At 46.2% G+C, this 14,272-nt stretch overlaps 1 long non-coding RNA gene across 1 annotated transcript in view, besides 7 other annotated features; it reads left to right on the forward strand.

The window, feature by feature from the left end:
* Positions 1 to 14,272, forward strand: part of CARINH (colitis associated IRF1 antisense regulator of intestinal homeostasis) — a 65,116-nt gene that overhangs the window by 33,967 nt on the left and 16,877 nt on the right. Inside the window, exon 3 of the long non-coding RNA NR_161242.1 lies at positions 4,755 to 4,794. This is a non-coding gene — a long non-coding RNA (colitis associated IRF1 antisense regulator of intestinal homeostasis). The remainder of the gene's footprint in view (positions 1 to 4,754; positions 4,795 to 14,272) is intronic.
* Positions 219 to 898: an enhancer, noted in NCBI's record as "H3K27ac hESC enhancer chr5:131780806-131781485 (GRCh37/hg19 assembly coordinates)". NCBI's record gives its function as "activates a minimal SCP1, AML or CMV promoter by ChIP-STARR-seq in naive H9 embryonic stem cells {active_cell/tissue: H9 hESC(naive)}" and the evidence as "EXISTENCE:reporter gene assay evidence [ECO:0000049][PMID:30033119]".
* Positions 5,806 to 6,444: an enhancer, noted in NCBI's record as "OCT4-NANOG-H3K4me1 hESC enhancer chr5:131786393-131787031 (GRCh37/hg19 assembly coordinates)". NCBI's record gives its function as "activates a minimal SCP1, AML or CMV promoter by ChIP-STARR-seq in naive H9 embryonic stem cells {active_cell/tissue: H9 hESC(naive)}" and the evidence as "EXISTENCE:reporter gene assay evidence [ECO:0000049][PMID:30033119]".
* Positions 11,047 to 11,239: a silencer, noted in NCBI's record as "fragment chr5:131791634-131791826 (GRCh37/hg19 assembly coordinates)". NCBI's record gives its function as "represses an EF-1alpha promoter that drives an FKBP-Casp9 reporter gene in an ReSE screen in K562 erythroleukemia cells {active_cell/tissue: K562}" and the evidence as "EXISTENCE:reporter gene assay evidence [ECO:0000049][PMID:32094911]".
* Positions 11,518 to 12,188: an enhancer, noted in NCBI's record as "H3K27ac-H3K4me1 hESC enhancer chr5:131792105-131792775 (GRCh37/hg19 assembly coordinates)". NCBI's record gives its function as "activates a minimal SCP1, AML or CMV promoter by ChIP-STARR-seq in naive H9 embryonic stem cells {active_cell/tissue: H9 hESC(naive)}" and the evidence as "EXISTENCE:reporter gene assay evidence [ECO:0000049][PMID:30033119]".
* Positions 12,189 to 12,858: an enhancer, noted in NCBI's record as "H3K27ac-H3K4me1 hESC enhancer chr5:131792776-131793445 (GRCh37/hg19 assembly coordinates)". NCBI's record gives its function as "activates a minimal SCP1, AML or CMV promoter by ChIP-STARR-seq in naive H9 embryonic stem cells {active_cell/tissue: H9 hESC(naive)}" and the evidence as "EXISTENCE:reporter gene assay evidence [ECO:0000049][PMID:30033119]".
* Positions 12,189 to 13,015: a biological region, named in NCBI's record as "H3K27ac-H3K4me1 hESC enhancer GRCh37_chr5:131792776-131793445".
* Positions 12,786 to 13,015: an enhancer, noted in NCBI's record as "active region_23076". NCBI's record gives its function as "activates an Ori minimal core promoter by ATAC-STARR-seq in GM12878 lymphoblastoid cells {active_cell/tissue: GM12878}" and the evidence as "EXISTENCE:reporter gene assay evidence [ECO:0000049][PMID:35858748]".

Consider the following 14,272-nt stretch of genomic DNA (forward strand, 5'->3'; position numbering starts at 1 on the left):
CCAGGTAGCAGGCTTCAGAGAGAATGGACTGTAAATATCTCTTATCAGTCTTAAAGAGTCAGTAATTCCAAAAGGGAAGAGGGTATAACGAGGCATGTCTGGCTCCCCCTTCCCATCATGGCCTAAACTAGTTTTTCAGGTTAACTTTGGAATGCCCTTGGCCGAGAGGAGGGGTCTATTCAGACAGCTGGGGAGTACCTTGGAATTTTCTTTTTGGTTTACAGAACACAGGCCCAGAAATGAGAACCAGGTTTAGGTCTTGCTCTCCTACTCTCCACTGTGTGACTTGGGCAAGGCATCTAATCTTTCTAAGCCTCAGTTTTCTCATTTGTAGAATGGAAATAATGCCCTTGCTTACTTCATAGTGTCATTCAGAGGCACAGACGATAGAGAGGCAAAATTCTTGTCTTTAACTGCCCTGAAGCTTCATGGAGGAGTTGGACAAGTACACACACAATGTGCTGCATACTACACCAGAGGTATGTCTAGGGTGTGGTAGTAGCAGTGTGGAGGTAAACTAGTTCTGCCAAAAAGAGGAGACTACAAAGCATGGGGCGTGGTGGAAGTAGCCCTCCAGGGCTTTGGACTCTAATGTTTCTCAAACAGTAGAGTGTTAACTGTATTAAGTTGTATTTAGTCCCTACAACAAACCTGTGAGATAGGTGTCATCCATTTCACATATGAGCAGCTGAGGCTCAGAAAGGATCATGCATTGGCCTGGCCTGGTATTTATAGAGCCCCTGTTGAATGCTAAGGGGCGCAAATCTAAGTTCCTTCCTCGTAGCTCACATTCCACAGGTGAAGTCACTTGCCCAAGACGAGGCTGGAATGTCAGAGCCTGGATTCAAACCCTCATCTGGTGGCCTCCCACCTTACCCTAGAACTCACTAGCCCTCAGGACATCCTCTTACGGGGAGCATAGACTGTCCCTGCCAGCCCCTGTGGGGAATTTGAGGATTTAGGGAAAAGGCTGGGTCAGGGATAGGACAGGCCCTGCTACTCCTATGGAACCTTCTGTTTCCTGAGCATTCCCTGGCAGCCCCTCCCCAAAGAGAGATTGAAGGCCTGACCGTGCCAATGTTTTCCCCAGGGACGGAGGGCAGGAGAAGCTTCCCCAGGGGATTTCAAGGGAGGATGGAGGTGGTCTCTATTCTGGGGTCAGAGAGTGACACCCTCTTCCTGCTGAGGTGGGGAATCCCCTTGGATTTCTCTGGGTTTATGGGAGAGGCCTATTGTTTTCGTACTGATCAGGCCCTCAGGGGAGGAAAACTCAAGACCTGGCATGTCATAGGACTAAATCAGCCTCTGGCATCTGAGTGGCTCCTTAGGCTTGGGGCTCATTCCTGCCCTCCCATGCCCTCAGCCTCAGGCTGCCATGAGACCCATGGCACTGCCACTGGGCAGTGACATTTTGTTTTAACCCAAGGAAATAAGAGATTGGCAAACCCCCTTCTCCAAGGAAAAATATACAGGATTGTTTATTAGAGCATTTGCTGGTAGTAACAATCATAGGAAACAATGTAAATGGCCAATGTTTAGGAATTAAATAAAATATGGTAAAAATCTACATATAATGAAATACTTTTAATGCAGCCATTTAAACTCATTATGTAGAAGAAAATTAATTTCATGAGAAGAGTGCTTTATAACAGATTTAGTCAAAATTCAGATCATAAAACACAATGTACATGATCTCATTTTTAACCCAAGGAAATAAGAAAAAAAATACCTATATATATGCATAGAAGAATGTCTAGAAGGATGCATCCAAAGTTAATTGTAGTTATTTCTGGGTAGTAGAATGACACGTTTTCTCCTGTTTTCAATATTTCCAAGTTTCCTTCAGTGAAAATGCATGTATTTTGTAATCATGGAGAAAAAGTTCCCATGGTGTGTATTGGCGAGAGAAGAGGATTGTTTCCTTTTGGCTTTGCACTTAGATGGCCCAAGGCCTTGGCCTTGTTCCCAGAGTGCAGATATTGTAGAAGCCACGGGGAAGGCTGGGAGCAGCAGAGGAGAGGCCAGCTTGAGGAGAATAAGCTGGGCATCGCTGTCTAGGTGTCATCCTAAATGTCACCTCCCAGAGAGGCACCTGACCACACAGCCTGGCGAAAGGAGGTCGCTCCCACACTTACTCTGTGTGTTTCACCCCAGCTTACTGTCTTCATAGCACCCATCTGCATCTGAAGTTACCTGCCTGCATATCCATTTCCTTGGTGATTATTTATCTCCTGCACAGAAGGCAAGCTCTCCAAGAGCAGAGTCCCTTGCTCACTCTGACTTCCCATTAGGAGAAAGGACCCAAGCCAGATCTTGGTCAACAAGCAACTGAGGACTTGCTCAGCAGCCCCAAGCTATGGGCATTTATCCTAAGGCTACACACAGCAGTGAGAAAAAGGAAATAACTTCATAGGAATCTAGAAACAGGTGGAGAGCTAGCTTATAGGACCAGACCTGGGTGGTGCTCAGCAAGCTGGAGGACCTGGCCCAGTGTTAGTAACAACAGCGGCCACGTACAGGTGTTGAGGAAGTACCAGCTTTGTGTTTTCTCTTAAGGTGGAACCAATGTAGGTTAGATCCCTCTCCCTCTGCTTCCAGCCCTCCTGCTGTCACCAGCCAACTCCACCCCTCAGCTCCCAAATTCAGCTCCTCTCTTTAGAACCTGCTGTAGTCAGATTCTCACTCCAACTGTTCCACTGAATCATCCCTGACCAGGATCACCTGTGACTCCAAGATGCTAAATCTCTGTCTTCATATTATTAAATAGTTGATCTATCACAGTGGACTATGCCATCCTCCTCAGAAGTCTTTCTCCAGGTTTCCCTCCTACTGTACTTGCTAGTCCTTTTCAGTCTCTTTTGCTGAGCTACTGAATGGGGCTCAGCCCCTTGCACAGCTTCCCTGGTTTTTTTTTTTTCTTTTCTTTTCTTTTCTTTTCTTTTTTTTTTTTTTTTTTGAGACAGAGTCTTGCTCTGTCACCCAGGCTGGAGTACAATGGCACAATCTCCGCTCACTGCAACCTCTGCTTCCTGGGTTCAAGTGATTCTCCTGCTTCATCCTCCTGAGTATCTGGGGTTACAGGCACCTGCCACCACACCCAGCTAATTTTTGTATTTTTAGTAGAGACGGGGTTTCACCAGGTTGGCCAGGCTGGTCTCGAACTCCTGACCTCAGGTGATCCACCCGCCTTGGCCTCCCAAAGTGCTGGGATTACAGGCGTGAGCCACCGCACCCGGCCGACAGCTTCCCTATTGACATCCACCCTCTTGATGATCTCATCCTGTGTCACAGCTTTAAAGAACTATGTGCTGAGAACTCACAAATACTCATTTCCAGCCTGGACCTCTCCCCAGATTCACAGTTCCACCTGCCTACAGTCTTCTCCACTTAAGTGCTTAAAAGGCATCTCACACTTACATCCAAAACCGTATTCCTTATCTCCCCACAAAACATGCTCCATCTGTACGCTTCCATTCAGAAAATGGCAATTCCATCCTCCCAGTTGCTCAGGCCAAAACTGGGAATCTTCCTGCTGCTCCCAGCCAACTCTGTCTCCTAGTTCACAGCTTCAGCTCCTTTCTTTTTAACCTGCCCCAGTCAGGTTCTAAACCCATTCTTTTTAATCTCTCACTTCCAATCCATCAGCAAATCCTCCATGCTACTGCTCTGGTCCAAGCCACCATTGTCTCTTGCCAAGATTTCTGCCATAGCCTCCTAACTGGTTCTACTCTTTCTCTCAGTTTATTCTCAACACAGCATCCAGAGTGATCCTGTTAAAATGTGAGTTACATCATGTCACTTCTCTGTAAAAAACCCTCTAGTGGCTCCTGTCTCAGAATCAGAGCCCAAGTTCACACAAGGACCTCCCTTGAATGCCGTGAACACTGTGGAGCCTCTCACTACCTCTCTGATCCCTCTCCTGCTTCTCCCTTATTCTCTCTACTCTGGCTACACCACCCTCCTCACTTATCTGTTAACATGTCAGACAGGCCCTCACTGCCAGGCTGTTGCACTTGCCATTCCCTCCACCTGGGAAGCTTCTTCCCCGTTAATTCTCAGGGCTCATGTCCTCACTTTTTTCAGGTAACTTTGTTCATAATTTACCTTCTCAGGTGTCTAGCCTTCTCTGGACACACATTTTAGAATTTTTACACGCCTTCTCACCTTCTGCCCCAATATTCCTTACCTCTCTCTCCTGCCTTATTTTTTCCTCCCTAGGATTTACCACTTCTGATTCCTATATTTTTAATTTATGTATCTTGTTAGTTTTTGGACTCTTCACTACCACCACCGCCCCACCCCCCTACCCAGTAGACTTCAAGCTCCATGAGGGCAGGGTGTTAGCCTTTTTAGTCCAATGCTCTATTCCCAGAGCCCTAGGACAGTGCCTGGCATATAGTAGGTGCTCAGTAAATAGCTGATGAATGGATATATCCATGGAAATGAATGAAGGGACAACTTATTTTTTATACAAGGCCTTGAGACAAAGTGGGAAGGGCACTGAGGTTTCTGCCAGTATAGGAGCATTAACAGGCCAAATGAGAAAGAAACCCTCTGAGTGGAGAATGCCGCTGGGTGGAAGCTTGTGCCCGTGTCTGCCCTGGGCCAGCATCCTACCAACTCACACCTCAGCAGCTTTCAAAGAACTCACCACAGATGGGCTCTCATCTTTCAACTTCCATCCAGGCTTGCGTTGTTCAAAGGCCCACCTTCAGTGCCCTGCTTCAATCATTTACTTTCCTTGTTTTTTGCAGGTGCCAGAGTTTGTAGCCTATTGGAGGAAAACACACCAAGGTAAGACAACAATAAGACCACATCTTGTTTGGGACTGCCCAACGTAGCCTTGGAAACTGTCCAAGGAAGACCAGGGTGCTAAGTGTTGGCAGCTGGATAAAGGGAAGGCCCAAGAGACTTTGCGTTGACTTCCTGGATAGAGTGAGAGTCCTGGGGACAGTGAGGCAGCTCAGTATAGTCAGTGATGGCTGTGAGGTCTTTAGACTCAGGAAGACAGTGTTGCACTTGGGAAAATGTAGCAGCCTCCCCCAAGCCAGTTGGTTGTGGGCCCACAGCATGGCCCTCTTGCCCTCACTTCCCTACCTCCCTCCGGGTCTCCCTTTCCTCACTTGCCCAGAAGTGCTGCCTGGCCCACTGAAGGCACAGCAGGCTGCTGCAGAGGGTCTAGTGCTTTTTTTTTTTTCTGAGATGGAGTCTCGCTCTGTCGCCAGACTGAAGCGCAGTGGCACAATCTCGGCTCAGTGCAACCTCTGCCTCCCGGGTTCAAGCGATTCTTCTGCCTCAGCCTCCCAAGTAGCTGGGACTACAGGCACACGCCACCACGCCCAGCCAATTTTTGTATTTGTAATAGAGATGGGGTTTCACCATGTTGGCCAGGATGGTCTCAATCTCTTGACCTCATGATCCGCCCACCTCGGCCTCCCAAAGTGCTGGGATTACAGGCATGAGCCACCGCGCCTGGCCTTTTTTTTTTTTTTTCTAAAGTAAGACTGGTTTAGTTCAAGAGGTATATACTAAGATCTTTCCAGCATAGGGCTTCTCTGATTCTGTGTTTAATCTCAGTCCAAATTTTGTGAAGATCCTCAGCAAATAAATGGATGTGGGAAATGTGTGATTGGGAAAGAGGCAGCTTTTAAAAATGTGTCTGGCCTTTGACCACGCAATTTCACTTTCCAGTATTTATTCTAGGAAAATACTCATACTATTGCAAAGTTTATATATAAAGATAGTTATAACTGCATTGTTTATCATTTACAAAAAGAAAACATCTGAAAGCCCAACAAGACGGAACTGGTTATTCCACATTGGCACATTCCTACAAGGGAATGTCATTAGGAAGAATGATGAAGATAAATATTTATTGATGAGAAAGATATTTGAACATACCATTTTTTTAAAAAAGAAATGGAAAAATCTTACAAACCATTCAAGGAAAGTAGCTTTGGATTCAGCCTGAAGGGTTGAGATCTAGCTTAGTCTCTTAACCAACTTGGGAACTCAGGCAAGTAATGTGATCTCCCTGAACTTGTTTCCTGCCTGTAAACGGGGCACAATAACACCTATCTTGTGAAGTTGGAAGGATTAAGAGAGATTAACACATCTAAAGGCCTCAGCACAGCCCAGTAGGTGATGATTGCTCAGTAGCTGGGTGCTTAGATGAGACATGGACTGTGATAGTATTTTTACCCGTTTATAAGCCTGGAAACATTCTGGAAATTCATACACCAGCAGTGGAGTTTTCTGACTGATAGAATCATGGGTGATTATTAATATTTTCTTATTTTTCTACAAGGAATATCTCCTGCTTATCTAAGGATGGTATAGTTTAAAAAAAAGTGACAATTTAAAAGGTTAAAAAAAAAACAGTGCATTTCAGCAGGTAAGTTTGCTAAGTAGTCCCTGCACAGAGCTCTGGAGAACTGAGAGAGAGGTGGGAAAGAAAGGGAATAGAGAGAACAATGGGTGAAGGAAAAGAGAAGGGGAGGTCAGACCCCAGGGCTAGTGGCCAAGGAGATGCACCTCGGCGGTAACGCTAGAGCCCCACCAAGCATGTGTTTGTCCTCCCATCCCCTATGATTGGCACCTCCCGGGAGAGCTCCAGGTAGGAGATCTTGTAACCCAAGGCTCATCTGTCCCAGCTTCTGATGACAATAAATGTGTGTAGCCTCTTTTAGCGGCCGAGACAGCCTGACTATGGCACGTCCAGGGAGAGGCCCCGTGGCTCTAGTCCTGGGCCTGACTCATCCACCTTTGGTAAACCCAGCATTTTTTTCCATGTCCAGAGTAGGAGAGGCAGGGCATCCTGGTGAATTCCCAGAAGTCATCCTAAAAGGATTAGCACCTCTCTTCTTTAGCAGCCCAATAGGATCTATACCCAAGAGATAGGTCTCCCAAGCAAATACAGGCTGCCAGGAGAGGGAAATGGTGACCACCTAAGGGCTGCCATGCCTGGCTCTCATCCCCACCCTCACCCCACCAACTGCCTTAGTGGCCAGTGACATCAGGAGGAACCCTTCCATGCTGATGGTGCTTGTGCCCACCTATGCCAGTTCATTGAGCATTCTTAGAGAGGCATGACTCTTCTACATAAGCGAATTTTCCAAATTATTAAATTTGATCCCATCACATTGCAGTTTTAAAATTGTACCCTTTTAAATTAATTTCTATTCTATCAAATTTATCAAAATAATGCACAAATTCAAAATAGCTGGAAGAGATGATTTTGAATGTTGTCACCACAAAGAAATGACAAGTGTTTAAGGTGATAGATATGCTAATTACCCTGATTTGATCATGTCATGCTATATGTATGTCTGGAAACATCACACTGCACTGCATAAATATCTACAATTATTATGTATCCATTAAAAACAAAATAAAAAATAATGCATGCATATGGTTTAAATATCAGTTGTACTGAGAAGCCCATAATAAAAATCCCTTCCCCGCCTTTCTCACTCCCCCTCTCTATAGGCTGCCTCTTTCAACCATTTACTAGTTTCCATTTCTGTTTATACTATTTTTTGATCTACCGATTTTAGGCATTTGTTGACTTCTTGTGATAGATGAGGATTGAACTTTCCTACAGAACCATCCCCACTTTTCCTCTCTCCATCCTTCCAATAGGAACATAACACAATCTGTGGTTAACTCAATAGTGAATGTGGACATATTCGTCACTGCTGAGTTATGTAGCATCTTTGAGTCCTGGAAGATTTTCTTGTATTATTTATTTAATAATTTTCTTCCCTGTATTTTATCTGTTGGATCATCTGGATTAATGTTTTAGTTTCCTTATATTTTCTCTCCTACTTTTCATCTCTTTGCCTTTTTGGTCTACTTTCTTGGGAAACCTTCATTGACTTCATACTCCAACCCTTCTGTTGATTTTTTTTTTAATTTTGGCTTTCTTTTTCTAATATCCTAGTACTCATTCTTGTTCTTCCTGTTCTTTTTCAAAAATACCACATTCTTTTTTATGCATATACTATCTCCATCCTATTCTTCTTGAGGCACTATTTATTTTTCATTTGTCCATTTGTCTTAATAGTCTTCTAGTCTCTATTTTGTTTTTGTTTCTACCTGGAGGTGGCAGCGGCGGTGGTGGCTGCTTCTTGTTGTTGTTGTTGTTGTCGTTGTCGTCATCCTCCTTCTTCTTCTTCTTCTTCCTCCTCCTCTTCCTCTTGTTCTTCTTCTTCTTCCCTCTTCTTTCTTCCTTCTTCCTTTTTCCTTCTGCTTTCTTTTTCTTCTCCCTCTCTCTGTCTCTCCATCTCTCCTTGTTGGAGGCTTTCCTTAAATGCCAAATATCTCAGCTATCTGTTGGTATTTATTAATGGAGCAATAAAAGGCTGAACTAAACTCTGCTTGGGGAGAATTTATCAACTGGGGTTTCACTACAGGAAGCAAGACAGTCTTTTAGTTAACAAGCCTCCAATGAGCACCTTTTCTCTAGAGCTAGGTTTCTTAACCTTGGTACTAGTGACATGTTGGGCCAAAGAATTCCTTGTTGTCAGAGGCTGTCTCATGCATTGTAGAATGTTTAGCAGCACCAGTGACTTCTGCCTACTAAATGCCAGTAGTAACCCCCCTCCCAGAGTTGTGATAACCAAAATGTCTGTAAACATTGCCAAATGTCCCCTGGGGGACAAAATCACCCTGTTGAGAACCACCACCCTGAAGCCATTCAGCTCCTCAAGAGAAGCATTCTAACTCCTAGTTCTAGTTATTGAACGCTACATAACAAACCACCTCAAAACTTAGTAGCATAAAACAACAACCATTTTTTGGGCCACTGTCAAGGAGTCAGAAGGGCAATTCTCTGCTCTACGACGGCTAGGATGACTGGAATGACTCGAGGTGACTGGAATAACTGGGAGTTGGAACAGCTGGGGCTGAAGGGTCCACTTGTAAGATCGTTGTTCACTTGGCAAAGAGAGCTGGAAGGCTGGGCTCAGCTGGGACTGTTGACCAGAGAGACTACACATGATGTCTCCAGCACCATGGCCTGGTCATTGGACCTCTTACGAGGCACCTCAAGTCTCTGGTGTGAGTGTTCTGGCCAGCAAGACAGAAGCTGCATGGCTGTGTATGTCCCAGCCTTGGAAGTCACATAGCTCATTTCCACTGTAGTCAGAAATCCACACAGGTTCAAGGAAGGAGACACAGACCCACCTCTCCATTGGAGAAATGTCAAAGAATTTGCAACCATCTTTTAAATTCACCATACCCTCATCCAGAGTGATATATACCTGGGGTGGGGCAGGGCAAGGTAAGTGGGTGGGACATTGAGTCCCACGCTTCATTCTTCAGACTTTTCCCTCACCTCCCTGTTTTCATCCCTGTATTCATCTGCCCTCCCTCCTGCCTGTCTCTCTCCTGTTCAGTGTCTTTGTCTCCAGCTGTGTGGGGCAGGGTGTGGAGGTGAGACCTGGGGAGGATTTCAACCAGTTTCCTCCATTCATTACCCCCACAGGCTGCTGTACCTCAGCCCCACCAGCCACAACACCTGGACTCCCCAAGTCTGAGCTCCTCCTGCAGGGTTCCAGGGGTAAAGTGGCTTGCCTCCTGTCAGTGTGCCCCTCTGCAAGCCCTTCAGAGCCTAGCTTCCTCCATGTCAGTCATTATTCCTCCACCTGCCTCCCAGCTTCCTGTAGTTTGGGGAACTCTTTCAGCCACTCATGTCTCCTTTACCATTCTCTTTGCCTTTGAGAGTTAATACCATTTGGTTGGTTGGTTGTTTGAGACAGAGTCTCGCCTTGTCACCCAAGCTGGAGTGCAGTGGCACAATCTTGGCTCATTGCAACCTCTGCCTCCTGGGTTCAAGCAATTCTCATATCTCAGCCTCCCGAGTACCTGGGACTACAGGCATGTGCCACCATGCCTGACTACTTTTCGTATTTTTAGTAGAGTCGGGGTTTCACCATGTTGGCCAAGCTGGTCTCGAACTTCTGATCTCAAGTAATCCACCCTCCTCATCCTCCTAAAGTGCTGGGATTACAGGCATGAGCCACCGCGCCTGGCCCCATTTGATTTTTTTAAGAGACAGGGTATCACTTCATCGCCCAGACTGGAGTACAGTGGTGTGACCATAGCTCACTGCAGCCTCAAACTCCTGGGCTCAAGTGATCCTCCCACCTCAGCCTCCTGAGTAGCTGAGACTCCAGGTACACACCACCACACCCAGCCAATTTTTTTTTTAAGACAGGGTCTTGCTATGTTGCCCAGGCTGGTCTTGAACTTCTGGACTCTAATGATCCTCCTGCCTTGGCCTACCAAAGTGCTGGAATTATAGGCGTGAGCCACTGCACCTGGCCCCATTTGATTTCTAGACTAGCATTTTAGTGGTGCTTCAGGAGAGAAAGGAAACTAGGAGTGTAAATAACTGATGTGTTGAACTGGAAACCCTGTTGTACCTCTCTTGTATGGATCTATCTCTACATTGTGTTATAGTCTTCCCTGCCCTGTAACAGCTCTGTGAAGCAGTACAGTGACATTTAACCTTCTGTTGATCATTCAGAGTCCTCCTTATGAAAATACTTGTTTACCTTGGAATTATTAAGCTATTAAGCTATTACCTTGGAATTATTAAGTAAAGCTATTTGTTCTTCCATAATGAGGACCCCAGTCATTTTGCTGGGATTCTTTAAACCTTTCTTCGTGGCCGCCTCTGTCCCTGGCTGCCTTTCATCCTATGTATTTGTGGTGAGAGTGCCACATTACAGCACGTTAGCTTCTGATGTACTCTTTTCAAATGGCCAGCCCCGGTGACTCTGCCGGGCATTGTTTGTTTGCCACCCCCCCACACATCCCTGCTCCAGTTGATTTTCTGCTCTTTCCCACTCCTCCCAGGATTTGACCTTTGTGGATTCCATCAGCCAGGCTCCAGGTCCCCAAGCTTCCAGTTGGGTTTGGCCAATTGAAGACCCCTCCCCTGACCAGAGGTTGGAGGCTGGGAGGGGAAATGGGAGGTGCTTTATCCCCCCAGCTCCCTCCCTTGCCAGGTCTCAGGTCAATAGTGCCTGTGTTTTTCACCCTAAAACCACAGCTCCTGCCGGCAGTCCCCTCCTACTGGTCTCTCTGGGTTCCAGGAGCCCTCCCACCTCCTCCCTGGGGATTGGTGGTCACAGCTCCCACTGTTGCTGGCTGCAGGATGCTTCACCTTTCCTTGAGGGTTTCTCTTCATCTTGCTCACCCTTGGAAACGGTCCTTTCCTCAGTCTCTCCTGTTACCAGTGGAGTGTGCATCTGTTTCCTGCTGGGACTGTGATCAATACAGCAACCTTTTCTGATTTGCATCTAAAACAAGGATACTCAAGCAGAGAGGGTATCAACATTTAAAAAAATAAAACAAGAATAAATAGTCCCTGAGTGAGCCCTGAGAGACTCTCTTAGGCGAGAGTCTGGGTGTGAGCTTTGTGACTTCTCTAGGCTACGCAAGGGCTTTTGTTTGTTCATGTCGATGTTTTTAACTATAATGCAGATAATAGAGGGCAATAGATTAGTGACTTCTGTACTTACTGGAGTGATTTGAGAAGGAAAATAAGCATGTAAATCAAGGGAAGCCAGGATCACTCACTCTCCTGGTCCCAGTCAGCCCTCGTTTTTGTTTAATTTGTGTATTTCGAAGCACACATATCTCTAGGGAAGAAAATGAAATCAAGAACTCCTCCTGGCCACCGGTTTCCTGAAGCATGAAAAGGAAGCATTTCATAAATGCTTTGTAAAGAAGACAACAGGAAGGGGTAGTGTCACTGGCTGGCAAGAGCTGCTGTTGTGGTATTTCACAGACAAGGGAGGTGACGTGGCACATGGGGGCTGAGGTCCCAGCCAGAGGCCACACAGGCACAGGCCTCAGAGCCCAGGCCTCCCTCTGGCCTGTAGACCCTCAGCCCTACTGGACAGGAGGAAAAGGCCTAGGGGACATTGCCCCCATTTCACAGAGAGGAGGCTGAAGCCAGTGAAGCAGAGAGTTGCAGCTTCAGTGGGGAGACACTGTTATGCCCCGCCTGTCTTATTCATGCTTCTTTTACCTGTAGGGATTTTTTTTTACATGGCTACCCTTGAGTGATAGAGCCTTCATCAGCTTAGCTTGTCCTCTTGCAGCCTACGCCACTCTGTGCCCTTTAGCCAAGGAAGCCCAGCTGAGGCCCCGCAGCGTCCCTGCCCAGCAGAGCTACAGGAGGCCCGAGGCCCCTTCCTGTTCACTCTTGCTCTATAGACGCCACGCTGCAAAGCAGATGTGCAGGGACACCACCTGAAGACCCAGCCTGCAGCTCAGCCCTACACACTGTGGATGGTGGAGATCCCAGAGGGCCAAGAGAAGCTTATTGAGACTTCTCTGCACTGCCCCTCCCACAGCAGGAGGTTCATGGCCCATGCATTTCTGGGAGGGTTGACAGGGCCCAGGTTGTGGAATACCTGTCTGTGAGCCCCATGTCCTGTCTTGTCCCAGCTGCCTGTAGTTTGACAGAGTATGCTAGAGGTCAGCCATTGCTAGGGAGGCTGCCACTAACCACACAGAGAGGAAGGAAAATTCTCAGCCACAGCACTTAGAGCTGAGCCTGACATGGTCCTCAGCAAGATGTTGCAAGTTCCTAATCTGAACACAGAGGCCAGGGAGTAAGCATCATCTGGAGCCCAGAGCTGACTGTCATTACCCACAAACATAAACACCCTGAGTCTGGCCTTCTCCCCACCCTGCCGAGGTTGTCAGAGCCTCAGCACTGGCTCTGCCCTGGGTGGCAGCCCCTGGGAAGCCCAGCTGCCACCTCTCTACAAATGGCCCTGTAGAAGCTGTGCTCAGTGATCCACTTCCTGGGGGGGGCTGGGCCCACCTTGTTGCCATTACACCCCATTACAAACTGATGCAACCAGCTTTCAACAGACACTGCCAAGGAAGATACACATTACAACAGCATGCTGCAATACCTCTGCCTGTGCAAGAGACTGACCCACATCCAAAAAATGGACATCTTCCCACCCCAGTGTCTCACTCCACTGAGCTGGAAGTGGCCTTTGTCAGGACCCTGTGAGGTCTTGAGTGGATCTGCTTTTCCCAAGATATTAAACCAGTGACTTTAAATCCTGGCTGCATATTACCATCATCTGGGATATTAAAAAATACTGATGCCTGGATCTTGCTCCCACCCAAAGAGTCTGACTGAATTGATGGGGTTTTCAAACATTTTTTAAGTGTTTGTTGAAGGATGACATACATGCAAAAAAAAAAAAAAAAGCACAAACCATAAGTGTAAAGCTCAGTGAATTTTCACAAAATGAATTTACCCCGAGTAACCAGCATCCAAATCATGAAACAGAACATCACCAGCAACCCCTGGTACCCCTTCCACTTACTACCTGGCTCCAAAGGCTAATGTCCATTCTGGCTTCTAATGGTGTACAGTCATTTCTCCTGTTTTCAAACTTTATATGATGTAAATGGAATCAGGCAGTATATATCCTCTTGTTGTGTTTGTGAGATGATTCATCCAAGTTGTTACTTAGAGCTGCAGTTTATTCACTCTTCTTGCTATAGAGTATTCCACTCTATGGATATTCCTCGATTTATCCATTCTACTGTGATGCATTTTTGGATATTCGAGTTGTTATTTATAATTCGGAACTATTCTGACTATTGCAATGACATGCTAGTGTGTATTTTTGGAGTACATGTATATCCATTGCTGGGGAAGCATGGGTATGAGTATGTTCAGCTTTAGTACCTTATGCCAAATAATGTTCCCAGGTGGCTGTACCCATTTACACTCCCTCCAGCAATGTATGAGAGTTCTGGTTGCTTCACATTTTTGCCAACCATAGATATTTTCTATCTTTTTCATGTTAGCCATTCTGGCAGGTATGTAGTGGTATCACAGTGTGGTTTGAATTTGCATTTCCCTGATGACTAATACAGCTGAGCAACCTTTCATATGTTTGTTAGCCATTTAGATCTTCTCTTTGCAAAGTGCCTGTTGGAATATTTGGACATGAGTATTTTTAAAAAGCTCCTTAGGTAACTCTACTGTGTAGCCAAGGTGGAAAACCACTGAACTAAAACCACAAATTAGTATCTGCGTCTCCCTTTCTTCATGATTTGCCTTTGAACTTAGAGCATTTTGGATCTGAGAGGACCTCGTGGAACTGGGAAAAGATTATATTCACTCCCTACTAAGATGAGCCTGTCAGGAAGAAGCAATTGGAGCTGGCAGTTAAGAATCTTTAGGAATGTGACCTCTACTTCAGAAGGGTCCAGGGAGGGC

This window comes from Homo sapiens, chromosome 5 (assembly GCF_000001405.40).
Source record: "Homo sapiens chromosome 5, GRCh38.p14 Primary Assembly".
NCBI classification, from domain to species: Eukaryota; Metazoa; Chordata; class Mammalia; order Primates; family Hominidae; genus Homo; species Homo sapiens.